Raw genomic sequence first — 26,946 nt, 5'->3', positions numbered from 1 at the left:
CAGTTTTGTAGCGAGAGGACACTACTTTGTCAGAGTGCCAAACTGTTCTATTCTCTTGAAGAGTCCTGTAGAAGGCCTATGAAACATCTGCCAACTAATATCTAAACAGGTGGCAGGGAATTTTTTGGATTTTTCTGAGATTGATTAGATACTGGTCAGTTAGATAATGAAGGAAATCATTATCTAAAAAGTGTATTCTCCTAGGATTTGTCTGGCTATGACGCCTAGCTGCACAAAAACACAGAAAATACAGCTTGTCATTAAGATAGGGAAAGGTAAGAGTTTCCCTACCCAATGAACTACATTTCCTATTATTTTCCCACCAACACCAGAACAACACTGAAAAGGGCAAGAAATTAAATGATACTTGTGATTCTGTGTTATCTTCCAAATGGTGGTGATACTGGAGGTTGTGTTAATAAGTCATTAAAATTTTTATTTTGTTGTAATAAAATTTATTTTTAGAAAACATTTTCTATTTATTGGCAACCCTATATTACTGGTAGAAAAATGTACCATATAATCAGAACTCCAAACTATGTCAAAAAAGCTATTATTAAGAAATGTGTTATTTCTTGTTACTTATTCTTAAAAAAACAAAACCCCTAAAAATCCACATACCTCTACTGCATTCCAAGTCTGTAAGAGTATAAAATCTATGACACGAGGTGCTCAGGAGCAGCAGTACCAGTCAACTGTTGTGAGAGGTGCTTACTTGAGGCACTTTAAATTAAAACAGGAAATAAATCAGTATTTCAGCAAATCTAAATTTACAAGTTTGGACTTGATGTGTTTGTCTTTAGTGAACGGAGTTAAAGCAATATTGCACCAATTAAGCAAAGTAAATTAAGACCCCTCAAAAAAGGTGATATAGTAAGAAAATGTCAATTTAATCATTTACTTTAGCAGGCAAGCAATTTGTAAACATTCAGTAGCGGCAGCATCCAAGTTACAAACAATTTAAAAAGAACCAAGATTAGTGATTATAATTTTTCCTTCCCTTTCCCCAAAAGAAAAAAAAAAATGATTTGGAAATGAATGACTTAAAACCCTACAAACATTGAACATTCAGTTATGTCTTCTATCAGCCTTCTATGCATCCTCTCTGTTTTATTTTAAAAGATGTATCTACTCCTAAAATGCATTATCTTGTAATAACTTGTACGTGAGCACTTGCAATCTAGGAAGTTGTTCCTGCACATCACTGTGCATATATTATCTTAGTTTAAATCCCATTTGCAAAGGGAATATTTATGTCTTGATTCAATGCCTCTTTGACTTCGAGTGGCAGGGTATCAAAAAGGTGATCTTCCACAACAAGCCCGCTTTTCTTGAGCATCCGACACTGGCCCAGCTGGGCTGGCAGGCGGTCCAAGCAGTTCCCCTTCAGCTCCAGCTGAGTGAGCTGGGAGAGCTGACCAACTTTCTCTGGGAGTGAGGTGATGCAGTTCTGTCCCAGATTCAAAGTCCTCAACTTTATGCATTTAAACAATTGTTTTGGCAGAATGTCCACTTTGTTCCCAGTGATATGCAAATGCTGCAGGTTCTGAAGCAATCCTATTTCTATTGGAATCATTGAAATGTTGTTGTAGCTCACATCTAAGCATCTGAGTTTCTGTAAACTAAATACTGCCACTGGTAAGGATTCGAGCTTGTTGTTAGAGAAATAAAGTGACTCCAAGTTTTTGACATGGGTAATAGAGGGAGGAATAGTAACAATTTTGTTATGCCATAATTTTAAACAAGTCAGTCGTTTTAAATGCTGGAAACTGATGATTTCCTCAATTGTGCGAATGTTATTGGACTTTAAATCCAGTTCCTGTAAATTAGAGAGGCTGAAAATAGCATGTGGGATTCTCTCTAGCTCACAGTTCTGGAGTTCCAGCTCAGCGACATTCATCATTTTCTTAAGGCTGTTCAGTACCAAGAGTTTAGTGCCGTCATTATGAATGACTAACTTTGTAAGATGTGGAGCCACATCTGTAATGTTGGAGGGAACTTTGGTCAAATTGCTCTTCACGTGGAGAATCTTAAGGTGCCGCAACTCTCGGAGAGATTCAAGTCCTATCATCTTATTGTTTTCAGAGTTCAAATTGCCTATTAAGTACAACTCTCGAAGGTTTTTGAGCAAATACACCCAGGCAGGAATTTCAGCCACATCAGTGAACTTCACGTGAAGGCATCTCAAGTGATCGCGAAGAAAGCTAAAAGCAGTCTGTTCAACTTTTGCAGGGCAGTGGCAGAGGTGGAGCTCTTGGAGGTTAGTCATTTGAGAAATCTTAGCAGGAATTTTAGCTTCTGGAATTAGTTCAAGCTTTAGCACATCCAGGTCTGTGAGGTCAAAGACAGCATCGGGCACCCCCGACAGCATGAACAGATGCAACTCCTGCTTGTCCTGGGCGTTGCGTGAAATGTGCTGCCTGAGTTTTTCAAATGTCCACTCATGGTTCAAACTAATTTCCCTAAGTTTATTTTCACTAACTTCTGACAAGAACACACCAAAACGCTTGGAATATAGCTGGTCATACTGGTCTACCATGTGAAGAAGGAACGCAAAATCGTTTTTGACATCTGGAATGTCACTAAAACTGCTCTCTTCTCTGACTTTTTCGAAAGAATATTCCTTCAAAGGTATCCTGAATAACCAGAAGAGAGTGTAGAGGCAGATAAAGCCATAAACACAAATAATGGATATGTAACTGATGAGAAGCTTTTTCAACATGTAAGCCATATTGTGGGTGCACTCAAATACCTCATAACCAATCAGATGCTCAACTTTGGGCTTGCAGACGTGTTCAAAGCTGATTGCGTTGACAAAGTTCGCTGTATAGCAGAGAATAAAAATGAACTTGGCTGTTTTGATAACTGTTTGGACCACATAGAGTTTATAGATCAAGTCACTATCTTCCACATGGGCACGGAACTTCCTCACTTTCTCAAACAGGGCTTTGGCCTGCTCTCCATCCTTTTTATCCAGGATTGTCATGCTGGGAACTTCAATCACAGGCTTCTCAGCTGAAAATTTAAAGCCAGTTTTATTGATCATTGGTGTACTGGCACTGGGGCTCCCTTCATCACTGCTGGTAGAAACATGCTTTGGTAGAGTCTGGGCACCTGTTATTCTCTGCTTGTTTTCCTCTGAGTCTTCGCATGCTGTCTCAGACAACGCTTTTGTCGTCCAAGGGGATTCAAAGCACTTTCCTAATATTGAAACAAAATGTTCTACTTTTGAGCATGTTTTGGGATATTTGAACCAAAAGTTGCTACTGACCATGAGAATAATAGTATGTATAAGAGCTAGGTATGGAAAGTACTTAGAATACCACGGAAGGGCCAGATGGTAACACATTTGATTAATAAATACATATTGCTGAAAATCCAAGTTTGTTTTTCGACCTGTTGGATCTTTCTTCTCTTTCTTTGCCTCCTGATTTGGAAGTGCGAAATCTGTGCGAGGATATGTGGCTCTGAGAGGTATGTCAGGTGTCACAGCAGATGTCCCAAAGGAAATGTCGTTTGTTGTCCGCCCATCTTGGTCTTGGTTGGTGGCTGCTTCCATCTTTGGGATGTTGGTGGTGACCTCGGCATTTCCTGGTGGTGTATGTGCCTTTGAATTTACAGGAGATGGCAATACTGGCAAACAGACCACCTGATCTTTGGTAAGTTGCATGGTTCCTGCAAAGATGGCTACCATTAACATAACAACAGCTAGGTAATCCATAAACACATCCCACCATGGTTTCAGGATTCGGTAAGTTGGCTGAATGTCATTAAGTGATGCAACTTCCGCAAGGGTAAACATTCCTAGAAAACAAGAAGACAAAAGACATTATTCTAGAGATGCAAATGAAAAGAGTAAATGAGAAAAACCCTATGCCTGCTCCTAACTAAAGTTTTCTCATTCAGGTCCTATCTTTTTATCCAATATAAATGTAGTAGAAAATAAACTAAAAGGGGAATATACAGCTTTTCTCTCCTAGTGCAAGGGAAGAGGGAAAGAATGAGTAAGAATTGCATTCTAGGTAAGAAATTATGACAGACTGCACCAAGTCCATAGTGGTTACTTAGTGGACCTTGAAGGAGGGTATGACAGCAGGATGGCATTTGTTGTGGACTCATTAAAGGTTAAGACTGAAATTTGGAGGTCAAGGAGTGGGATGACTCTTATTTTGTATAAGCCAAAATTGAAAGGTCTGTGTATACCATTAAATACCGTTAAACTTTGGATAGTCTTATGTTCCAGACTTAGTTCTAACACTTACTAATGGTTGATTCCTTAAGCCTTGTGTATTTCCCATCTGTATAATAGGGATGAAAACTTCTAAGGGTTGTTGGAAAGGTTAAATTAAGTAATGATTGTAACGCTCTTAGCACATCCTCTGGCCACAAGTGTTTGTTAGCTGTTTACGTTAGCTCCAATCACTCTGGTGGAAGTGTCCATGAACAGTTGAAACTAAGGGTCTAGCGTTTAGGAGGAGTCTTACTATACACACTTGGGATTTATCAATATATATAGCTGAAACTCTGGCCTTTGATGCAGTCCTATGGAAAGCATGTGGATTGAGAAGACAGCTCAAGACTCAGGTGGCCATGAAATAATCAATGATGGTGATGCTGAATAAGTCAGCACCAGGAAGACATACGATCTCTACCAAAGCAGGTGACCCGAGCAGCCATGAATGAAGCCCCGGTGCCAGGAAACTTGAAAATGTGGTTATTATTCACTATCAGCTGACAGCTTTATAGCACGGAACTAGTTTATACAAATAATAAAGGACAAGGACAATCATCCTGGAAGTAACCAAGAAAAACAGTGTTTCTAGTGGCAAGTAATGGGAATGGGCTTCTCTAATTATGTGCATGAACTGAATGTTTCAACTTCTTGAAAAACCACATGACCATATTTTCATTTCTTGAGAGGTTCTTGGGTTTCCATATTTATATTGCTTTGTCTTTTTTAAAGAAAGAAATCATGTTATTTCTTTAAAAACTAGCAAAAGACCAAGCAATAAAAATCAAGGCAAGTACCCAAGAGTTTTGGGAATGCATGTATTTTTTTAAATTAAGGATGGAAGATGAATTTTTAATATTTTTATTTATTTATTTATTTTTGAGACAGAGCCTCACTCTGTCACCCAGGCTAGAGTGCAGTGGCGCGATCTCAGCTCACTGCAACCTCTGCCTCCTTGGTTCAAGCGATTCTCCTGCCTCAGCCTCCCGAGTAGCTGGGACTACAGGCATCCACCACCACACCCACCTAATTTTTGTATTTTTAGTAGAGACAGGGTTTCACCATATTGGCCAGGCTGGTCTCGAACTCCTGACCTTGTGATCTGCCCACCTTGGCCTCCCAAAGTGCTGGGATTACAGGTGTGAGCCACCACACCCAACCAGGAAGATGAATTATCTATTCATGGGTTGTCTGGAATGCTGTGTTGAGGAGGATTCTGAGGCTGATTCTGGTTTCAGTAGGAAACAGTGCTGTGACTGATTACTTGTGTCTTCCTTGGATGACACAATGAAGAAAGGTGGCATTAGTACTTTGATTCTGCTCTGTTTTAAATTAAGTTTCTGAAGGCAGGGACCAGGTCTTTTTTTTTTTTTTTTTTTTTCCGAAACCCTTCCACATACCTAGTACTGCACAGAGTAGGTTCATAATATTTTTTAATAAAATACAATGAATACTACAGCAATGATCACATCTGTAGTTAGTTTTGTAAGCAAAATTATCTCTTATGTAAGCAGGTAAACACAAGTCTAAGAACTCCAAACATAAAATTGTTAGAAATCACATTCCCAGACTTCAGGGCTTAAGTATGAAATGCCTGGTAACCAGTCTTTGTAAAAAAAAAAAAAAAAAAAAAAAATTACCAAGGAAGTGAAAAAAAGAAAAATAACTTTGTACCTTAGTAGGGGAAGTGGGAGATAACACGCCCACTTGAACTCCTTTTATTCTGAGCTCCTGTATCTTGTGTGGGTTTTGCTTTCATGAATGGCTTGGATAAGCAGGAAGAAAAGCTACTGGAATCACAGCAAGCTAACCTAAATGAGAAACAGCTCAACCTCATGTCATTTTGAGCTCTTCAGTTCCTATCTAGAATGCACAAAACACAGCATCAAGCACAGAATGACTCTTACTTCACATACAGAGACTAGAGAGTACACCTTGCACAGGTTTATTTCTGGCAAGGAACGTAACAGTCATACCTGGGGACCATGGCTTTAAAGGGCCATCTGCATGAGTAATAGGAACAATAGATTTTTTTGCATGTAATAGTTCTTTCAAATAGGATTTTTCTTTACTTTTTAAAAAGAGTCATGAACTGCATAATGGTGTTTTGGTCAACAATGGACTGCATATATGATGGTGGTCCCATAAGATACGAGATGGTGGCTCATGCCTATAATCCCAGCACTTTGGGAGGCCGAGGTGGGTGGATCATTTGAGGCGGAGTTTGAGACCAGCCTGGCGAATATGGTGAAACCCCATCTCTACTAAAAATACAAAAATTAGCCAGGCATAGTGGTTCACGCTTTAATCCCAGCTACTTGGGAGGCTGAGGCAGAAAAATTGCTTGAACCCAGGAGGAGGAGGTTGCAGTGAGCCAAGATCACACCACTGCACTCCAGCCTGGGTGACAGAGTGAGACTCCATTTTATAATGAAGTACATAGAAACCTGATACAGAGCACTAATCACTGGCATTACAGATCAAGTAGGGCAGCGGTCCTCAACCTTTTTGGCACCACAGACAAGTTTTGTAGAAGACAATTTTTCCAGAAATGGGGGTTGGGGGGAGAGATGGTTTTGGGATGAAACTGTTTCATCTTGGTTGGATCATCAGGCATTAGATTCTCACAAGGTGTGCACAACCTAGATCCCTCACATGAGCAGTTCATGATAGGATTCATGCTACTATGAGAATCTAATGCTGCTGCTGATCTGACACAAAACGGAGCTCAGGCAGTAATGCTCACTCTCCCGCCGCTCACCTACTGCCGTGAAGCCCAGTTCCTAACAGCTCTCGACAGGTACCAGTCTGCAGCCTGGGGCCCGGGGACTCCTGAAGTAGGGGAAAGGACTGATATTCAGTAATGATGTTGGGAATTTGGTTTTCCATATGAATACATACATACATGCATATACACACACACACCATCTAGCTTTGTGTAAGTACACTCTGATATTTACACAACAATGAAATTGCCTAACAATACATTTCTCAGAAGGTATCCCCATGAAGAGACATGTGACTGTAATTGTATCTGGTTCTAGGGAGGCCAGGATGTCTGGCTTGGCAGATTGAGAGATAAGTGAATTTTGAAAGTCAGTGTACTGAGGACATTGGTTATTTGTCTTTTACACCATGATTATTACAACTGGTCTTTCTGCTGCCAGTCTTTACCTCCTTTAATCCCTTTTCCATCTTGCCATGGGTCCCTTGGTAAAAACTCTTCAGGCTCTCTCTGTTCCAGGCCAGTAACTTCTGCCAGTTTCTCTAACAAGCCATTCTCTCCCTTGTGTTCAGCCTCTCCAACACTTTGTTTCCTCTGCCTTGATTACTTCCTCCCTACTCCTCTTCACTAGGCTATCAGGTTTCTGCAGCCTTTTCCAGAAAGCCTTCCCTGATCTCCTAGTATGGGTGAGGTGTTTCTTCCATGTGTTCCCACAATACTCTGTACCTCCGCCCATCACAGCCCTTATCACACTGTATTTACTTGTCTGATCTCCCATTGGATTACCAATTCAATGAAGATATGCACTATGCCCACTTCCTTCTTTGTCCTATGTATCCAATGCCTGACACATAGTAGGTACTTAATCAATGAAATGATTTTGAGATCTTGATCATCATCTTCAGCATCCTAAAAATTCCTTGAGAACATTTATTAACATCTACAGATGGTATTGGGCAGAGGAGCATTTTATTAACCTGAATTGCTACCACAAAGCAACCTGGATCTATGCAAGAATGAACACTCTAAGCCAGGTCCCAGCATAAAAATAAACAGTTAAAGGACCACACAGCAGAGACATTGTTGGATTCTTGCAACCAGTGTTATTTTGCAGCTGTTGAAGTGTCAATGGTAGTTTTCAAGCACCTTGTACTCAGGACAGGCTTTGATCCCAGGAAATAGAAGAGGCTGTCCACCTTCCCAGTGGGAAAAGAAAAGTTCAAAGGTAGTGGCAGTGGGCATAGCAACAGAGTACAGAGTACTGTAACTTCACACACAGTCACCAGCTCCGGCCCCAGACTCCCCGCAAGAATGGTAACACTGAATAACAGACAGCACATGACCACTCCAACCTCAGATGAGCTCCTCTCTTCCAGCACATTGTCTACTCTGCCACCCCCCACCAGAAGTTTTGTGCCCTTGCTGTTTTCTCCAGCCCATTTTTCTTTTTTCTTTCTATTGAACTTTTCCTTATTAAGTCCCAGCTCAAGCACTACCTTTTCCTTCAAATTGCTATCATGTTGTCTAATAATAATGTGTTTGTAGGCCGGGCATGGTGGCTCACGTCTATAATCCCAGCACTTTGGGAGGCCGAGGTGGGCAGATCACCTGAGGTCAGGAGTTTGAGACCAGCCTGGCCAACATGGTGAAACCCCGTCTCCACCAAAAATACAAAAATTAGCGGGGCTTGGTGCCAGGCGCCTGTAATCCCAGCTACTCAGGAGGCTGAGGCAGGAAGAATTGCTCGAAACCGGGTGGCGGAGGTTGCAGTGCGGCGAGATCATGCCATGGCACTCCAGCCTGGGAAACAGAGCAAGACTCCCGTCTCAAAAACAAAAACAAAATCTGTTTCTAATCTTGGTCTCTTCCACTAGATCTTGAGCTCCTTGTAGGCAGAGAATATGTCTTATTCACCTTTGTAATCCACCATGCCCTACTCTCACCCTTGAAGAACACAGATGGCATTTAGTGGTGATGATAATGGTGACAGTAATAGTGGCTATCACTTGTCATTTTCCTTCCACGTGGCAAGCACTGTACTAGGGGCTTTACATCTGATACAACTTCCCAGTTTTATAGAGAGCACATTCCTGAAAATGAATGTACAAAAGTTTAGTTTAAGCTTTTGGGGGCTAAGAGAATGGCTCTATTTCCAAATGTATGAAATTATAAAATCCACCAGAATTCCTAAAATTAAAATGACAGATAATACTAAGTGCTGGTAGGGATGCTGGAGCAACTGGAATGCAAATACTTCTGGTGAGTGTGTCAATGTTGGGAAATTCTGGGAAATGTTTTAGTATTATCTACTAAAATTGAGCATAAGCACACTTTATGACCCTGCAATTCCACTGCTAGGTATATACCTGTAAGAAACACGGGTATATATTCATCCAAAAACATGTATGAGAATGCTCATAGCAGCACCATTTGTATTAGCTCTAAATTGTAAGCTATCCAAATGCCTATCAACTGTAGAATAAAAGATGTGGTATATTTACAAAATAGAATACTAGGCAGCAACAAGAATGAATGATCTGGTTACATGGGTGTGTTGAATTTATAAAATGTGATCTGTACACTCAGGCTTCCACTTCAATAAAAAGTTTCAAAGGAAATGGTAAAAGAAGCTGCCGCAGAAACAGCTGTCCTAGGAATGTGCTGTGACATGACATTGAGGCTGCGCCTCCGCCCCGTCCCAAGGCACATCCCGGCTGGCTGGGATTACATGCCAGGGAAGCCTGTCTCTTCCTCTGGTGGTCTCCCCTCACTATTTATTTCCCTGGCCTGAGAGTAGGTGCCTGCTTTCTCTGGAGTACAAAGGACTGATTCTGCCATAGAAAAGAAGGTGCAGAGGTAGGAACATACAATATCTGAAAGCTCTGGGTGGAAAAAGCTGAACACAGGTGGAACACAGTGGAACATTGCCTGAATCCTATTTAAACTTCACAACATTACTCTAAGCAGCCAAAGTGTTGTTATTTACCCTTGAGAGGGGAAGAAATAGACTCACGGAAGTTGTGGACATTAAATAATTAGTAGCAGAGACTGGATTTAAAATCCCACCTAAGGCCAAAGCACATGTTCTTCCTACCAGATTACCTTTTCTTCTTTATTTCTCATGTTTGCAGTGCTTTTCGGTTTGCAAGCTACTTTCCTATACAAGATCTCTATTTATTTTCATAATAACCCAGTGGTCTAGGCATTACTACTGCCCAACAGTATGAGGAAACCTGAGGCTCAAAAAGCTTAAATGACCTCTCTGAGCTAATTAAGTGAGAGTGCTAACAGAATCTTTCATCTCTAAATCTTTTTCTCTACCACGCATCATCCAATGCCTGTGTTATTGGCTAAGGGTTGGCTATTGAAGGAGGCAACTCCTCACTGTTGTCCTTGGCTTAGAGGTGACAAAGCAATGACATTATGTAATCACCACCATCCCTTCCTGACATTCACTAGGAATTCAAGAAAGCTACCAGCCCCGTGCCAAGCACCATGGAGGGGAATGCAGAGATGATCTAATATAGATCCTTGCCCTCAAGGAGATCCCAGTCTAATGCAGGATGATAAGCAGTAAGTGTACAATTACAACATATTAGGTTGGTGTGAAAGTGATTGCAGTTTTTGCCACTACTTTTAATGGCAAAAGTTGCACCAACCTAATAGTAAGGGCATTGCTATCACCTTAATACGAAGTAATATGAAGTTAACACAAAGTATAGCAGATGCACAGAACGGGGCAAGCCCAAGTCTGCATGTAGTAACTGGGAGAACTTCACAGAGGTGTGGTTTTGAGCTGAGAGATGAAGGAAGGGTAAGACATGAGGTGGTGGGGAGAGGGAAAACAATTTTGACTGAAGAAATAGCAAGGGCAAAGGCATAGCATGAGATAAATGATGCGTTAGAGAAACTACAAATAACTTTAATGCTATCCCAGTTAGTGGTCTGGTATACCCCTGTACAGATATCACATCTCACGGGTAAGCCAAAGTATGGAAACCAAAGCATGGATGTTAAGTATAGGCTTAAGAAAGTGCCCAGGCCATAAGGAAGAAAGCCAGTACTTTCCAGCAATGTCAGCCACAGGACTTGAATTAATGCATCTGTTATACCATTTTACCCACCAAAAATGGGGATAATGACATATGCCCTTCCTACCAGGGGGGTATTTCAACCATCGACTGAATTAAAGATGCACAAGCACTTTGAAAACAAAAGTAGCTTTTCATATATACTGAGTGTGTATGTGTATAAAGCATATTTAACACATATTTATATAATATAGTATATTAAGTACATTATGATCCTCTAGTGACTTATTTTAGGTTCAGGGTGTACATGTGCAGGTTTGTAACATGGGTAAACTAGTTGCTAAGGCTTGATGTATGAATGATCCCATCACCAAGGTCAGCAGTCCCCAACCATTTTGGCACCAAGGACTGGTTTCATGGAAGACAATTTTTCCATGGACGGGGGAGGGGGATGGTTTCGGGCTAACTCAAGTGCATCACATTTGTTATGCACTTTATTTCTGTTATTATTACACTGTAATATATAATGAAATAATTATACAACTCACCATAATGTGGAATCAGCGCGATCCCTGAGCTTTTCCTGCAACTAGACGGTCCCATCTGGGAGTGATGGAAGACAGTGACAAATCATCGGACATTAGATTCTCACAAGGATAGCAGAACCTAGATCCCTTGAATTCACAGTTCACAATAGGGTTCACACTCCTACGAGAATCTAATGCTGCTGCTGATCTGACAAGAGGCAGAGCTAAGGCAGTAATGTCAACAATGGGGAGTGGCTGTAAATACAGATGAAGCTTTGCTCACTCTCCCACTGCTCACCTGGTGCTGTGCGACCCGGTTCCTAACAGGCCATGAATCAGCAGCAGTCCGTGGCCCAGGGGTTGGGGACCCCCAATCAAGGTAATGAGTATAGTACCTAATAGGGAGCCTTCCAACCCAACTCCCCTCCTTTCTCTCCCCTATTAAGCAGGCCCCTGTGTCTATTGTTCCCTTCTTTGTATCCATGTGTATTCAGTGTTTAGCTCCCACTTATAAGTGAGAACATGTGGTATTTGGTTTTATGTTTCTGTATTACTATGCCTAGGATAATGGCCTGCAGCTGCATCCATGTTGCTGCAAAAAACATGATATATTCTTTTCTATGGTTGCATAGTATTCCATGGTGTATATGTACCATATTAAAAAAAAAATCCAGTCCACTGTCAACGGGCATCTTGGTTGATTACATGTCTTTGCTATTGTGAATAGTGCTGCAATGAACATACAAGTACACATCTTTTTTGTAGAATGATTTGTTTTCCTTTGGGTATATACACAATAGAGATTGCTGGGTTGAATTATAGTTCTGTTTTAACTTTTTTGAGAAGTCTACACACTGCTTTCCACAGTGGCTGAACTAATTTACATCCCCACCAGCAGTGCGTAAGTGTTTTCTTTTCTCTGCAACCTTGCCAGCATCTGGTGTTTTTTGACTTTTTAATAATAGCCATTCTGGTGTGAGAGGGTATCTCACTGACTTTTTGATTTGCATTTCTCTAATGATTAGTGATGCTGAGCATTTTTTCATATATTTGTTGGCTGCATGTATGTCTTCTTTTGAGAAGTGTTTGTTCATGTCCTTTGCCCATTTCTTAATGGGATTGTTTTTTGCTTGCTGATTTAAGTTCCTTATAGATTCTAGATATTAGACCTTTGTCAGATGCATAGTTTGCAAATATTTTCTCCCATTCTGTATGCTGTCTGTTTACTGTTGACAGTTTAATTTGCTGTGCAGAAGCTCTTTAGTTTAATTAGGTCCCACTTGTCAATTTTTGTTTTTGTTGCAATTGCCTTTGGGGACTTAGTCATAAATTCTTTGCCAAGGCCAACATCCAGAATAGTATTTTTTAGGTTTTCTTCAGAGTTTTTATTGTTTTAGGTCTTACCTTTAAGTCCTTTAATCCATCGTGAGTTAGTTTTTGTATATGGTGAAAGGACGGGGTCCAGTTTCAATCTTCTGCATAAGGCTAGCCAGTTATTCCAGCACCATTTATTGAATAGGGAGTCCATTCCCCATTGTTTGTTACTGTCGACTTTGTCACAAAGATCAGGTGGTTGTATGTGTGTAATTTTGTGGACTCTGTCCTGTTCCAGTGGTCTGTGTGTCTGCTTTTGTATCAGTACCATGCTGTTTTGGTTACTGTAGTCTTGTAGTATAGTTTGAAGTCACATAATGTGATATCTCCAGCTTTATTCTTTGTGTTTAGGATTGCTTTGGTGATTTGGCTTTTTTTGGGTTCCATATGAATTTTAGAATCGTTTTTTTCTAATTCTGTGAAAAATGACACTGGTAGTTTGATAGGAATAGCACTGTATCTACATATTGCTTTGGGAAGTATGGCCATCATAACAATACGATTCTTTCTAATGTGAACTTAAGCCAATGAGAGAAGGGATCAGCACCTGGTTTCTCTGCATCCTATCCATATCTTGAGGTTTGATCTCCTTAGTGAATCAGGACTCAGAATGGCTATAAATGGTTATCAAGGGATTTTTGTTTTTTAACTTGAAAAACATATATTTAGTAAGTATTAATCGCATATATTCTTTGATTTCTCTTTTATAGTACATCTATTGCAAAAGACTTAAATAATTACATTATGCGGAAGTGGATTTCACATTCCAAAGCTTCTCCTTGTCAATGGCACACATGAAAATCAGCTTAACATTCCTGTAAGCAAACATTTCTCATGGAAGTCAAGGAAGCTTTTTGTAGTAGAACTGAAAAGGGAAAGTTATTGGACTTTGGTTGAACAAAACTAAATCTGAAAACAACAGGGTTGAATATAACCCTTTTAGAATTATGATCCTGTTTTCTTATTCAAATGTATGGTTAGTAGTAATGAAAAAAAATCAGTAACAGTTCAAAAATCAGAAGACATGGTTGTTGGACAATTCTGTGATTACACTAAAAAACACTGAATTATATACTTCAAATGAGTAAATTGTATGGTATGTAAATTTTATCTCCATAAAGCTGTTAAAATAAAGAAACCAGATCTCAACCTTTGTTTATTTTACTGCCTAAACTGCCTTTCAACAGAAATAGGATAGTGAAGGTAGATATGATTGTAGCCTATTGTAACTATTCATGCTATACTACATTCTAAGTTCAAGTATGTTTTTAAATGATTGCTTATATTATTACCTCTCTAACATTCATGCCTCATTGGTAAAATCTTAATAATAAAAACCACCTCACAGTGTAACGTATTAGGAACACCTGGTTTAGGGTCTGGCACAAAGTAAGCCCCCAAAGATGTTTGCTGAATCTGAATTTAAAAAAGAAAAAAAGAATCATTGAGGAGAAAAGTCTGTCTTAGTCTTTACTGAAGATGACTAGACCAATTCGTTGAATTTTGAACTAGCATGTAGCACCACGCACATAGAGTAATCCTGGAATAAATGACTAATGATAAATATGTGGCATTTAATTTTATTTATTCTTTTAGATGTATTTAAGTCAAAATTATTGGCCAGACGCAGTGGCTCATGTCTGTAATCCCAGCACTTTGGGAGGCCAAGGCAGGTGGATCACCTGAGGTCAGGAGCTCGAGACCAGCCTGGCCAACATGATGAAACCCGGTCTCTAGTAAAAATACAAAAAATTAGCCAGGTGTGGTGGCGAGCACCTGTAATCCCAGCTACTTGGGAGGCTGAAGCACGAGCATAGCTTGAACCTGAGAGGCGGAGGTTTCAGCGAGCCAAGATCGCCCCACTGCACCCTGGCCTGGGTAACAAGAGCAAAACTCCATCTCCCCCAAAAAAAAAATTATATGAAGAGGTGGCAAATGATACTAGAAAGAGCACAACTCCGATGCCCAAGAGACCTGGATTCAAATCTTGCTCTTTGTTCCCATTTGTTAGCCAGGGTAAATGTGGGTAGCTTGGTGACTGCTAGAAAACATATATTCATGAGATTGTTATAAGCAATAAAAGAAACCCTAGCATTAAAACAGAAAAATATAATCACCTAAATTAAAACTTTAAAAGTTGGCCGGGTGCAGTGGCTCACGCTTGTAATCCCAGCACTTTGGGAGGCTGAGGAGGACAGATCACCTGAGGTCAGGAGTTCAAGACCAGCCTGACCAACATGTGAAACCATGACTCTACTAAAAATTTAAAAATTAGCCGGGCTTGGTGGCAGATGCCTGGAATCCCAGCTGCTCAGGAGGCTGAGGAAGAAGAATTGCTTGAAGTTGGGAGGCGGAGGTTGTAGTGAGCTGAGATTGTGCCATTGCACTCCAACCTGGGCAACAGAGCAAGACTCTCTCTCTCTCAAAAAACAAAACAAAACAAAACAAAACAAACAAACAAAAAAAACCTTTAAAAGTTTATCTGCACTAGGAGGTCTTAGTACCCCTATTAAAAGAAGGAAGCCAAATGGCTTTGAAATATTATTTAAATAAGAATTTAATGTATAAAGAAGCAAATGGCTTGATTAATGTAATCAATATAACACTCAATTATACTTAGTTTTTCTTTTTTGTTGTTTTTTTTGAAATAGGGTCTCACTCCAGTTGTCCAGGCTAGAGTGCAGTGGCGTGATCTTGGCTCACTGCAGCCTTGACCTCCTGGGCTCAGGTGATTCTCCTACCTCAGCCTCCCGAGTAGCCCAGCTAATTTTTTGTATTTTTTGTAGGGACAGGGTTTCACCATGTTGCCTAGGCTGGTCTTGAACTCCTGGACTCAAGTGATTCATCCGCCTTGGCCTCCCAAAGTGTTGGGATTACAGGCATGAGCCACCACATCTGGCCTGTAATTTTTCATGTAGGCATGAATTAACTACCCAATCAAATATCAACTTTCACTTTCTTTCTGCAGGGAAAAAAGTTAGCCCTCTTGGTCAACCTGGGCAAATGGAGAACATGCAAGAGACTTACGAGGATCAAATTCTCAAATCTTTCATTGAAATAAATCAAATGAGAACAAACTAAAGTTTATAATGAGCTACACCATCTCTACAACAAGCCTTCCCTAACACTCAACAGACACGTAAGCACATATGTGTATGTACACACAGATACTCACACAGCACACCCAAATCAGTTATCAAAAATTTATACAGTTAAAGAAAATAAAAAATGCTTCAGAAGCAATAGGGGAAAAAGGAATGATTTAGTTTTTTTTTTTTTTTTTTTCCCAATAGGCCTCTGTATTACTGTATTATTTAAGTGTTAATAGTTATGGGTATTACAAGTATACAATATACTCTATAGCTGATATAATTCTATATAGAAACGAAACGTAAGTCACTGGTGTCACTCCCTCTTAAAAGATTATGATAAGAAATTAAACTTTTAAAATAGCTCCTTTCTAATGCTATTTTGGTTTAGATATCAAAAATAACTGAAACAATTTTTTTACATAAAAAATCTCAAGATTTAAAAAAACACTCCTTATATAAAACTTATCAATCTCAGATTTCACATTAGGCAAAAACCACCCATTTTGCTAACCACCAAAAGCTTTTTATAAATCCATTTAACACTTAAAAGGACTATAGAAAATTCATAACTTGTGAAATATAAAAAGAACTTTACACAAATTACATGTTAATGTCTCTTTTAGGATTTCTTCCTAGTGTAGTGCTATTCACAGAGCAAATTTGCCTCAGAACTAAGGAACATAACTCTAAATATGTTAATAGGTCTAAAGCAAAATATCTTAGGAATTAACAAAAATGTGTTAGTACACTGCTGTGAATTTGTTTTTACTTCTAGCTCTCAATTCTAAAAGTCAAGGCCCACATTTGAGGGCTTACAAATGAGATTTTATTCACAGAACAATAAAAAAGAGGCTCTAAAATCAATGGCTTCCACATTTTATTCCATACAATCTCAGTTTCTTCTACAAGCTATCACCAGCATTCCCTTAAATCATGAACTCAGGCCAGCAGAATTTCACAAGAGCTTCAGTATCTATAGACCCCACTTAGTGTACCCTCTACTAGAAACTTTAACAAATAATTATGGAGTTTTTGCTATAGGGTTCTGGGGATTAAAAAGGGAAATAATTTTTTAAAAAATTAAAAGCTGTCCTTACTGAGAAAGCAACTTAGAGGAAACATAAAAAGAGCAAGGGATAATGACAATAGTTTCATTAGTCCCTAAAACAGTCTGGCAGCTAAGAGACCTTAATAAAGGCTCCAGAGAAAGTCATCCCAAACTGAGTGAAGAATTTGGTTCAACTTTATCGCCTAACTTCATCCAGTTTATGAGACAGTTAGTAGGATTTGTAATGGGAGCTTTGCTTGCATTTTTAAATTCCCTGCTTCTTTCCATCTGCAAAATGGACATCTTAGATTAAACTTGACCATTTTCCTTTTAAGTTTACTGACATTTAATAGTATTTCTTCTAGCATATACCTGGCATAGCATATCCCTGACACCCAAGCAGCTTTCCATGGTCCCAGGAAGTTGCCACATTCTTTTCCAGTTACTTTTTGGGACCAAAAGAACCTCTGATCATAAACCCATAAATATCTGCTCTGGTGACAGACAGCTGGGAGCCTGTCAGTCCTTATTCCTGGTTTGGTACAGATTGCTGGAAAAGAACCTGAGTATCTTGCTCTGGTGCTTACCTCACTAACCCTCAAAAAGTTCTCAAAGTTAGTATGAGAGAAAAACACTCAGATACAAATTCTAATCCTTGGATAGGTAGCTTATTCAGTTAAAAGGATTACTTGGTAGTTTATTAGGAGATTCTAGCCAGTAAGACCAGAAATGAATGCAAAGTCAGACAATGGCTGCTCATGATACTTGCAGAACTGTCAGTTCTGTCTCCCTGTCTTCCTCCACTTGGGTTTCAATGCCTCCACCTAATGGGAGGACAGTTTCTTTTATCTGCGTATCCTCAGGGCACAGCACAGATTAGGCACTTAATAAAGATTTGTTAACAGAATGAATCACTCACAACTGTACAGCATTCCAGAAGGGTGCTCAGAAGGCACCCAACCTGAACCAAATACTGGCAGTGAGAAAAGGTCACTATTAATTATACCAAAGTCAAAATGATCAACAACTCTAACAGGCATTTTTCAATGTCCAGCTGGGCAACATATTAGAACTCTTTTTAACAGGTCATTCTGATGCTAACTCATTCGGATAGACCACCTGCATGTAGTTTGACTCATAATTAAGCACTCTACAGGAAAACAAAGACAAAGGTAAGCTTGGGCATACCCTCACTAGGAGATAATACCAAGAACTAAGCAGAGGGCAGGTGATAAGCCAGTATCATCTCTGGGGCAGTGGCAAACAAACACCATTTTAGCACATAAAAGGTGATATAAAATGGCAGAGAGGAAGGAGCTCCAGAGAGGGAGGACCCTTGAGACAGTGAAGGTGCCAGCACCTCAGGCCTCCTTTTCCTTGTCCTGCATGGGGTTTTCTGCCCTTCTGCATTGCATGGACCATGGAGGCAGAAATTCTGACTGAGAGTAACTCTGCAGTTAGTGGTGAATGCCATATGTGTTAAGGCAGAATACCATGTGCAAGTGTTGAGCAAGTGCCCAGCACATGGTAAGCACTGAGTAACAGCTGCTGGTTATTATTCATTGTGTGGAATAAGGTGCTTTATATAAATAAACCTATCAACATTCATCTTTACCACCTGGTACTGAGAAGTTTGTCTTTCATGATGAAATGGTATGAGCCATGGAACCCAGATGTTCTCCACTTGGCTTTGGGTTCCAAAAAATTCGGACAATTTTATACGGGCATTATAAGCATTAACTCTAAGTCTTCTTCTAATTATTCATTTGCTCATTTATTCCTTTACCCAAGAAATATATACTGTATACTCAAGTGTTAACACTATGCAAATTCCTGGAGAAAGCTTGGGGAGTAAATTCAGACATATTTCCTCTCTCACACAGTGCATAGTGTAGGGGAAAGAAATATTCACCGAGTTGTGTATATAAATTGAATTGTCAATGTGAAGAGCTACCAACAAGAGGTACAGGCTGAGGTAGATTTGCCATGCAGTGAAAGGTTAAGGGTCAGGACCCTATCCTCGCACTGACCGCTTCCAAGGCCCTATACTCATATTTGTATCTCTAATTTTATTTTTCTTAAAGACAGCCCCTCAAATTACAAAAATTTCAGATCCCAGGAAGCTTGGACCTTCCCCTGCTTGCATGGTACTATGAAAGTGCATAATGGGGTGTTTCCTCCAGCTGGCAAGATCAGGGAGGAATTTTCTGAGGAAATCGTGATGGAAGGGAGGTGTGAAGAAAGAGTATAGGAGTATGGTGGCCCAGAATGTGCAAAGGCCCTGTGGAGAGAGGGGAACAAAGAATGACCAGAGAACTGAAAGAAGGCTAGTGCCCAAAGCTTGAAGAGTCACAGGAACATGCAGTGTGAGATGATGCTTAGAAGCATAGTTTGATGTCATCAAACTAAGGGCAGTTTTAAGTCACTGGTGTGTTTTCAGCTGCAGATTGGAGGTTGATGAAAATTAAATTTGTCCCTTTTAAAGATTACTCTGGGCTTAGCATACAGATTAGTGAGGGAAGATATAAGATCAGGAAAGCAGCTATTGCATGACTCCAGGCAAAGGATATATGTAGGTAGTTAAAACTAGGTTGTGAGTGGTAGAAAAGGTATTGAATAAAATGGATAGATTAATGGGCTAATTAGGGCAAATAGTTTGCACCTGTATAAAGATATCTAACAGATGGAATAATTTAAACACAAATAGCCTAGAGTCTCTATTATAGAGCTAATTTAAACTAGAAATTCAGTTCTTAAGTTGGTAGTATACTGGATAAGAATGTGGCTTAAGTAGTTAGCTTGCTTGAGTTTTCACCCCTATTTCCACCTTTTACCTGTACAATAGGAACACAGATAATGTTTCACATCACTGTGTAAACTTGGGCCTTCATTTTCCTTATCAATGAAATGGAAATAAAACCCCACTGTGACAAGGTACATACACCACCCAGTCTAATGTTGAACACATGGTAGGCCCGCTCATTGAATGTTCCTACCCTGAAAATTCCACAAAATTGGATTTAAATGTCCAGAAAAATTTGGGGAAGGTGGCGGCCCCTGAGGAAAACCCAGGATTTGAAATGTAGTGGTGACAGGGGAAAAATAAAGATCATGAAGGCTTTGAGAAGAAAAAAAAAATCAACGAAGAAAAGAGAGAACAGAAAAGCAAGAAAATCAAAAGATGAGGAGACACAGAGTTAAACTATACATCAGTCAAATATTACAGAGATCTTAATCTCAATCTCATTAAAGCGTAATGAAGACTTAAAAATCATTAATGACCTTTGGCAATATAATCGCTATTGCAGTGGAATTCATTATTGACATTAAAAAACATTTTAGAGCTAAATAAAAATTCCCCTAAAGGGTTGGCCTTTCGAAGTAATACAAACAAGTCCTTATTTTCGATTTAGTGATAAATTGGTAAATTTGGCTAAATATAACTTTTGTTCTATTTCAAAGGATTTGATAAAACAAACAAATGTTTTATTCACATTTGATTTATTTAATTCTGTTTCTAAGTACTTAGCATCTATTTGTGCAGCTCTTATGAAAATAACAAATGATCTTTAGAAAAGCAGATCTGATAGGACATTTAACTGGAAGCCCTTCACAAACTAAGGTGTGCTTGGAATTAATGGTTTCTTCCCTTTCCCCAAATTATCTTAACTGGCAGAATTTTAGTAGATAGCCACTGTCATGATGCTATAATTTCTAACATTTCCCCCTGCAATAAAGCATTAGTAGAGATGTAGGACTGAATCGCAATTGAGCAGCCTGCAGTTCATAAACACGCTTAAACCTTCCTGTGGTGGGAAGGTCCAAAATATAAACAAACATACTATCTTTCTCTCTTTTTTTGTGAGACTTTTTTGTGAACTTCATGTGAGAACATGCTTTCTAATTCAGTATGTTGTTACTTATTTTAGATGAATTGCTTCTTTGAAGATTATGGTCTTTGACTTTGATAATCTTGGATATTTACTTTCTGATAAAGCACATCTATTTAACTCTCAAAAAATGGCCCAAGATAACATTTTTGAAAAATTATTTTGCATACTCAAATGTCAAGGGTGCCACTGCATTTATTTAAGCACCTGCTATTTTGGTTGTAGAGGTCATTAACAGTGTTTCCCAATCTGTTTCACTTTATGGCCCACAGAGGAAAGGACATTTATATATGCCCTGGGGTAAACTGAAGAGGGCGAATACAGTCAGGCAAAGGGTCTCCAGCCCTGCCCAAAGGAGTGAATATTTCAGCCATCCAGTAGCCATTCCTGGCACATCCACTGGGAATTCCAGCCTAAAATATCATACATTGGTTACAAATTAAGGTCTAAATCTTACAAGTGATAGAATTTATCTATCTACGATGTGATCATTATTGGAGTAATTAAATGCCATCTTTTTTCCTCATAAAATCAAAAAACAGTAAACACGGATCATTATACCCAAGAAACAGTTGCTTGTTTGTGTGACTTTATATACAACATGTTACAACTGTAATTGTAGGATTGTCTAATGTGTTGATGGACCACAATATCTTTAGATAGAGACTGCAAATGCTAAGAAATATATAAGACTGAGGTGACCAATCATTAATCTATTCATTCCTAAACGCTACACTCTGTTAGGTATTTAGGATTTGTAGTTGGCAACAAAGTATCTTGCCCATCATAGACTTTACCAAATCTGTGTTGTCATGAAGCCATCAAGCTCATAATCATTTACATTTTCAAATGTTTAGCTTAGGTAATGTGCTAGGTGCTGAACACACCACACACATACACACACACCACACACACACACACACACACACACACACAGTAGAGCAAGATAGATAGAGTCCTTGCCCTCCAAGAGCTTAAAGATCCACCCATACTTATCTTAAGTAGTTTGGAAAAGACGGAGCATGGACCACTACCACCATTCTGCCCAGAATTATTTAGGGTAAGCAGTGCTAATATCTAAAATGACACGGCCCCGTGCAGTGACTCACGCCTGTAATCCTAGCACTTTGGGAGGATTGCTTGAGCCCAGGAGTTCGAGACTAGCCTGGGAACATAGTAAGACCCCATCTTCACTATATGTAAAAAATTTTTAAAAAGACAATAAAGTGTATAAATGCAAAAAAAAAAAAAAACTGTGATAACTGAGACCAGCAACAAGCAGTAATAGTAAACAAAAACCAGGGACGTTTCCAGGAAAACCAAGTGTTACTGTCACCCTAATTATAGGCCACATGGGCTAGAAAGGTCTGATGCCATTATGTATGGCTGACATATAAACGTAAGTATAGATATTTTTAGGCAAATAATCTGTAGTCACATTGTGTGCTGGCAGTCCTCAAAGCCCTTGCTTGCTCTCGGCACCTCCTCTGCCTGGGCTCCCACTTTGGTGGCACTTGAGGAGCACTTCAGCCCACCAATGCACTGTGGGAGCCCCTTTCTGGGCTGGCCAAGGCTGGAGCCCACTCCCTCAGCTTGCAGGGAGGTGTGGAGGCAGAGGCGTGAGCGGGAACCAAGGCTGCGTGCTGTGCTTGCGGGCCAGCTGGAGTTCCGGGTGGGCGTGGGCTTGGTGGGCCCCGCACTCGGAGCAGTTGGCCAGCCCTTCATTCTTGAAGTCAGTAAGACCAAGAACCCACCAATTCCGGACACAACATCATATCTTAGATATTTTACAGTTGCAGTCCATCCAAAGTGGATAACATAGCAAGATAATTTTTACTTCTTTACCAAGGGGACTGACCTTTTACCATGGTAGGATGTTACATATTACAATTATTTTCTAGTAAAAAATTTGGAGTACAAAGAGATGAAATTGGCATAAACCATTAAAACAGCATTTCCCACACTTTTCCGTATCAGAATATATGTACAACATGACAGTATCCGTACTGCATAAAGCAGGAAACAGCTGAAGCTGCTCATGGTTAGAGGCTGCCCTGTACCATGGCCTGAGAGGATCTGCATGTCGGCAAGCATGTATTCATTCCATTACTAGTAGGCCAGGGGACATCAGCCAGGAAATTGACCCAAATTATCTAAGACATTTGAGAGTGAGGAATACAAGAGAGCAGGAAAGGAATAATTCTTCCACTTAGAAAATATATCATCTTTCAGAAAATATTTCGAAGATGGTGATAAACTGATACCACAAGTTGTACTGAATCTGAAAATATAAGTAATGAGACAAAAAAGTGTAGAGAGAATTCCATGTTGCAAGCATTTGTTTGTAATATGCACATGTATCCTATGCCACCCATTTTCACCACAAATGCACTGGTTGAGAGTAAGAGCTACAAACTGTCTTTTAAATTTACATACTCTTAACTCTGCATGGCATACTTTTCTAGAAGGAAAAAAGAAAGAAGTATTGAGTCCTGTTACTTACATATGGCAAGTACTGAAGCTTATAGGGTAGGCCCAGATGTTTTTTAATCACTCATTTCCTCCCAAGTTGACTTTTTAATCAAAATAGTCTTCCATTTCTATGATAACTACTAAGTGTGCCCCCAAAATCATTATTTAGTAACATACACCTGCCACCATCACCACCCAGTTTAGCTAGGTGCAAAGGTGCCCATCTAGAGATAACATTTCCCAGCCTCATTTGCAGCCAGATGTGGCCACCTAATGAGGAGGGACCAACAGGATGTAAGAAGCAGTTCAACTAATTTCCTGGTAACCTTCATAAAGACAAGGCTACAAGACAAGGCTACTTGACTTGGCCTTCCTTTTCCTTTTTTCCTGCGGGCTAGAAATGGGGACAGCAGGACAACCTTAGAAATCACGTGTGTAGCACAGGAGTGCTATCCTGCCAGTTGCTGGCTGCTCATATCTGGACTGTTCTGTAAGGAGGAAATAAACATCTATCTTATTTAAGTCATTCTATTTGGGTGTCTCAGCAGTTTAGTTGGTAACATAATTAATAAAACCTCCAACTACTAAAAAACACCTCTTAAAAGCATCTAGAAATAGATTTGGACAGACTTATTTTATAATTCATCCTTGTTTATAAATACAAGTATTTTATAAACACTAAGGACTTAAAGTGGAAGTATAAACATAAAATAGTATTTTATACTAACAATTTATGAACAATATATTGTAATTTATTATAAATAATACAATGTAGAGATTATATTATAAACAAACATAACATGATAGAATGATAACTGTAACAAATTAACAGGGTAAGACTTGTGAGAGCCAAAATGCACCAGACAATTAAGGAGGTGATTTTCTTCAAGCTACTGGAATAAAACACTAATGAGGGCTGTCTCAAAGAAAAGGAAAGGGTCTGGAGTTCTATAGAGGCAGGTAAACAAGGAAGTCATCTGGGAGTCAGGAAGGACAGAGATGGGTCTAATCTCAGAATATTGGAGAACAAGATAGTCCTTTGTGGTTTCCCAGAACACCAAAGGGTGGGGGTGGGGGGTGAGGGTTGGAAAATTGAAGGATGGGGAGATTTTCCAGGGTACAACTCAGGGAAAGTTCAATATTGTAAGATCCTAATTACAAAGGGACAGTAAGGAACCCCTGAAGGGTTTTAACAAGTGAGGCAATGAGGTCACCATTCCGTTTTAAAAAGAATTCTACCAGGAATGTAGAAGCAAGATTGAAGGGAGGAAAGACTGGAGGCAGGGAGATGAAGGAGAAAACTACTCTATAGTCAACATGATTTCCACTCAATTCAATTTTTCAGTTGGAATAGCTGGTAGTGGCATAATAAATTTAAGTCAAGGTATCTAGTAGTTGGTTGTCCTGAATCCTAAGAGAAAGATCTGGGATTTACAGATTTGTGACTAATCCACATATGCAGGATGAGATAATCCAAGGAGAGCATACACAGAGAAAAAAGGCCAATGGCAGAATCCAGGGGATCACTAGCATTTAGGGAACTGGGAGAAGAAAAGCATTCAGCAGAGGAGAGGAAGAAGGGTGGGTCAGAGGACAAGAACTATGAAGAGAATGTTGGCCTAGAAGCCAAAAGAGGCAACCCCTTCAGGAAGAGAGTGGTAAGCAGCATTGCAGGTGTCAAAAGCAAGTCACGCACGTTAAGGGGCAAAAGTGACCGCTGGATCTGGCAGCTGAGAGTCACCTGACACTTTGGCCTGAGCACTTTCGGTGAAAAAGTCTGGCTCACGTGTGCAAGGGTATGTGGGAAAGTGAATATTCACCTCTCAAATCTCAGCTGGGGATGAAACAAAAGGCTGGTACAACAGCAAGCGGGGGAGGCAGGTATGATGGGAGGGTGTATTTTTCAGGATAGGAAAGGAGTAGAGGGGTAAAAGTTGGAAGTAGCAGGGTGAGAGAGTACCAAGATGTTTTTCTTACGGCTACTTGTTTCTTATTTTGAACATAAAGTCAAATTATACAAACACATTTCGACAAGGAGCTATAACTCAAGTATGCGGCATGTTGCTATGACTTCATAAAACTACAGAGATTAAGGAATTCAGAATCCCATGGAAATTCTTAAACAGAGTTTGGACATATGTTGTTTGATTTTCCCTTCAGCAAACTGGTAAACATTAATCTTGCTAACCACCATATTGCTTATCCCGTCATAAAATTTTAAAAGGTTCTTTTTTGAAAAGTCTAAAGGGAAAAAGGTAACTTGCAAAATAATTCCACAAACTATATAACTAAAAAAAAAAAAACCCCAAAAATGCATGGACATATGAGTGAGTAGCTCTGTATATATTCAAGTAATCCAAGCAGTGTCAGGCTTTCTCACCCGCTGAAACTCCCTGGGAAGGTCAAGCATTCAGAGAACTCAGGTCAGATTACACTGAAAAGAAGGTGGGAAAAGAAATATTTAGCATTTCTAAGGAGAGTGTCAGTGACCTACAGCGGCTAGTTTACTTCTCATTTCCTTGACCATGGTATACAGGGACAAAGATGAGGTAGAGAGGGGAGGAGCTGTGCACTGCTGGCATATTTACAGGAAAATCTTGGGCTGTATCTTGCCATTCAACACTGAGGCTACTGCTAATAGGCAGGGGAAGACAGGAAGAAAATTACCCCTCCTGAATAACCAAGCACTTACATACTTGAGCCTATTAAATTGTCCTATCCATCCTGAGCAGTGGTATTACTGCTTCAGTTTTACTGAGAGAAAACAGGTTTTGAAAGTTTGAGTAATTCGACCGAGATCACACAGCTAATACAAGGTGGACCAGGATTCAAACCCAGATCTGACTGACACTATGAAGCCCATACCTGCCCCCTCAGCTTATTTTAAACTAGAGATTAACTCAAATTAAATTAAATTTGCTTCTACAAATTAAAAAAAATCACTAGAAGGAACCCTTAAAGTGAAGGTGACAAAATGCTGGTAGTCAAAGGCTGCCTAAGGGCACAAGGAGTAAAGTCTTAAAAAATGAAACAACAACCCAACTGTCATTTAATAACAATATTACCTAAGGTCTTTATCATAATCTCACTTTTTAAAAGACAATTCCATGGATTCCAACTAATCTGATCCTCACAAACTACTATGAGACAAACAAATAATATCAACTTTATTTTATAGCCAAGAAACTTGTTACAAGGAAATGGCAGAATGGAGATGAGAATTCCAGACTTCTACAACATCCAGTGTGCTGGAACAGTCCTCCAGTAAGTGTCATAGTCTCAAAGTTTTTAAATCTTACCTTCAAAAAGTTGTTAACAAAGTCAGACCAAATATTCGGTATAATCTCTTCACTAAATTTAGGCTGTGAAGATTTATTTTTTATTCTGAATTCATTAAAGTGTAACCATAATTCTTAAAAGAATAAACAACTCACTTAGGCCTACTGGTTCGTAAGTACAAAATATGTACTGATCACCCACTATAAGAAGAATAGTACCTTAGCTATGATTTTAAGAACATGAAAGGAGGGGCTAAGGGACTTAAATTAGAGCCAAG

At 39.5% G+C, this 26,946-nt stretch overlaps 1 protein-coding gene across 13 annotated transcripts in view, besides 4 other annotated features; it reads right to left on the bottom strand.

The window, feature by feature from the left end:
- Window positions 1–259: 259 nt before the first annotated feature.
- LRRC8D (leucine rich repeat containing 8 VRAC subunit D) overlaps window positions 260–26,946 on the bottom strand; it is a 115,580-nt gene continuing 88,893 nt past the window's right edge. For 6 of the 13 annotated variants that reach the window (XM_047423953.1, XM_047423947.1, XM_047423944.1 and 3 more), the window contains 2 exons: window positions 6,993–7,063; window positions 260–3,804 (listed from right to left, as the gene is read on the bottom strand). In XM_047423953.1, coding sequence (XP_047279909.1) covers window positions 1,226–3,802 — 2,577 coding nt within the window. In that variant the 5' untranslated portion in view covers window positions 3,803–3,804; window positions 6,993–7,063 and the 3' untranslated portion in view covers window positions 260–1,225. Of the gene's footprint in view, window positions 3,805–6,992; window positions 7,064–11,535; window positions 25,335–26,946 lie in introns of those variants that run through there. The other 7 variants (XM_047423956.1, XM_047423940.1, XM_047423943.1 and 4 more) reach the window with 2 other exon arrangements.
- Window positions 3,465–4,067: an enhancer, noted in NCBI's record as "OCT4-NANOG-H3K27ac hESC enhancer chr1:90398363-90398965 (GRCh37/hg19 assembly coordinates)". NCBI's record gives its function as "activates a minimal SCP1, AML or CMV promoter by ChIP-STARR-seq in primed H9 embryonic stem cells {active_cell/tissue: H9 hESC(primed)}" and the evidence as "EXISTENCE:reporter gene assay evidence [ECO:0000049][PMID:30033119]".
- Window positions 17,702–18,324: an enhancer, noted in NCBI's record as "OCT4-NANOG hESC enhancer chr1:90384106-90384728 (GRCh37/hg19 assembly coordinates)". NCBI's record gives its function as "activates a minimal SCP1, AML or CMV promoter by ChIP-STARR-seq in primed H9 embryonic stem cells {active_cell/tissue: H9 hESC(primed)}" and the evidence as "EXISTENCE:reporter gene assay evidence [ECO:0000049][PMID:30033119]".
- Window positions 22,017–22,543: an enhancer, noted in NCBI's record as "H3K4me1 hESC enhancer chr1:90379887-90380413 (GRCh37/hg19 assembly coordinates)". NCBI's record gives its function as "activates a minimal SCP1, AML or CMV promoter by ChIP-STARR-seq in naive H9 embryonic stem cells {active_cell/tissue: H9 hESC(naive)}" and the evidence as "EXISTENCE:reporter gene assay evidence [ECO:0000049][PMID:30033119]".
- Window positions 22,544–23,070: an enhancer, noted in NCBI's record as "H3K4me1 hESC enhancer chr1:90379360-90379886 (GRCh37/hg19 assembly coordinates)". NCBI's record gives its function as "activates a minimal SCP1, AML or CMV promoter by ChIP-STARR-seq in naive H9 embryonic stem cells {active_cell/tissue: H9 hESC(naive)}" and the evidence as "EXISTENCE:reporter gene assay evidence [ECO:0000049][PMID:30033119]".

Source organism: Homo sapiens, chromosome 1 (genome assembly GCF_000001405.40).
Source record: "Homo sapiens chromosome 1, GRCh38.p14 Primary Assembly".
Lineage (NCBI taxonomy): Eukaryota > Metazoa > Chordata > Mammalia > Primates > Hominidae > Homo > Homo sapiens.
This window is presented reverse-complemented; position numbering and strand designations above follow the sequence as displayed.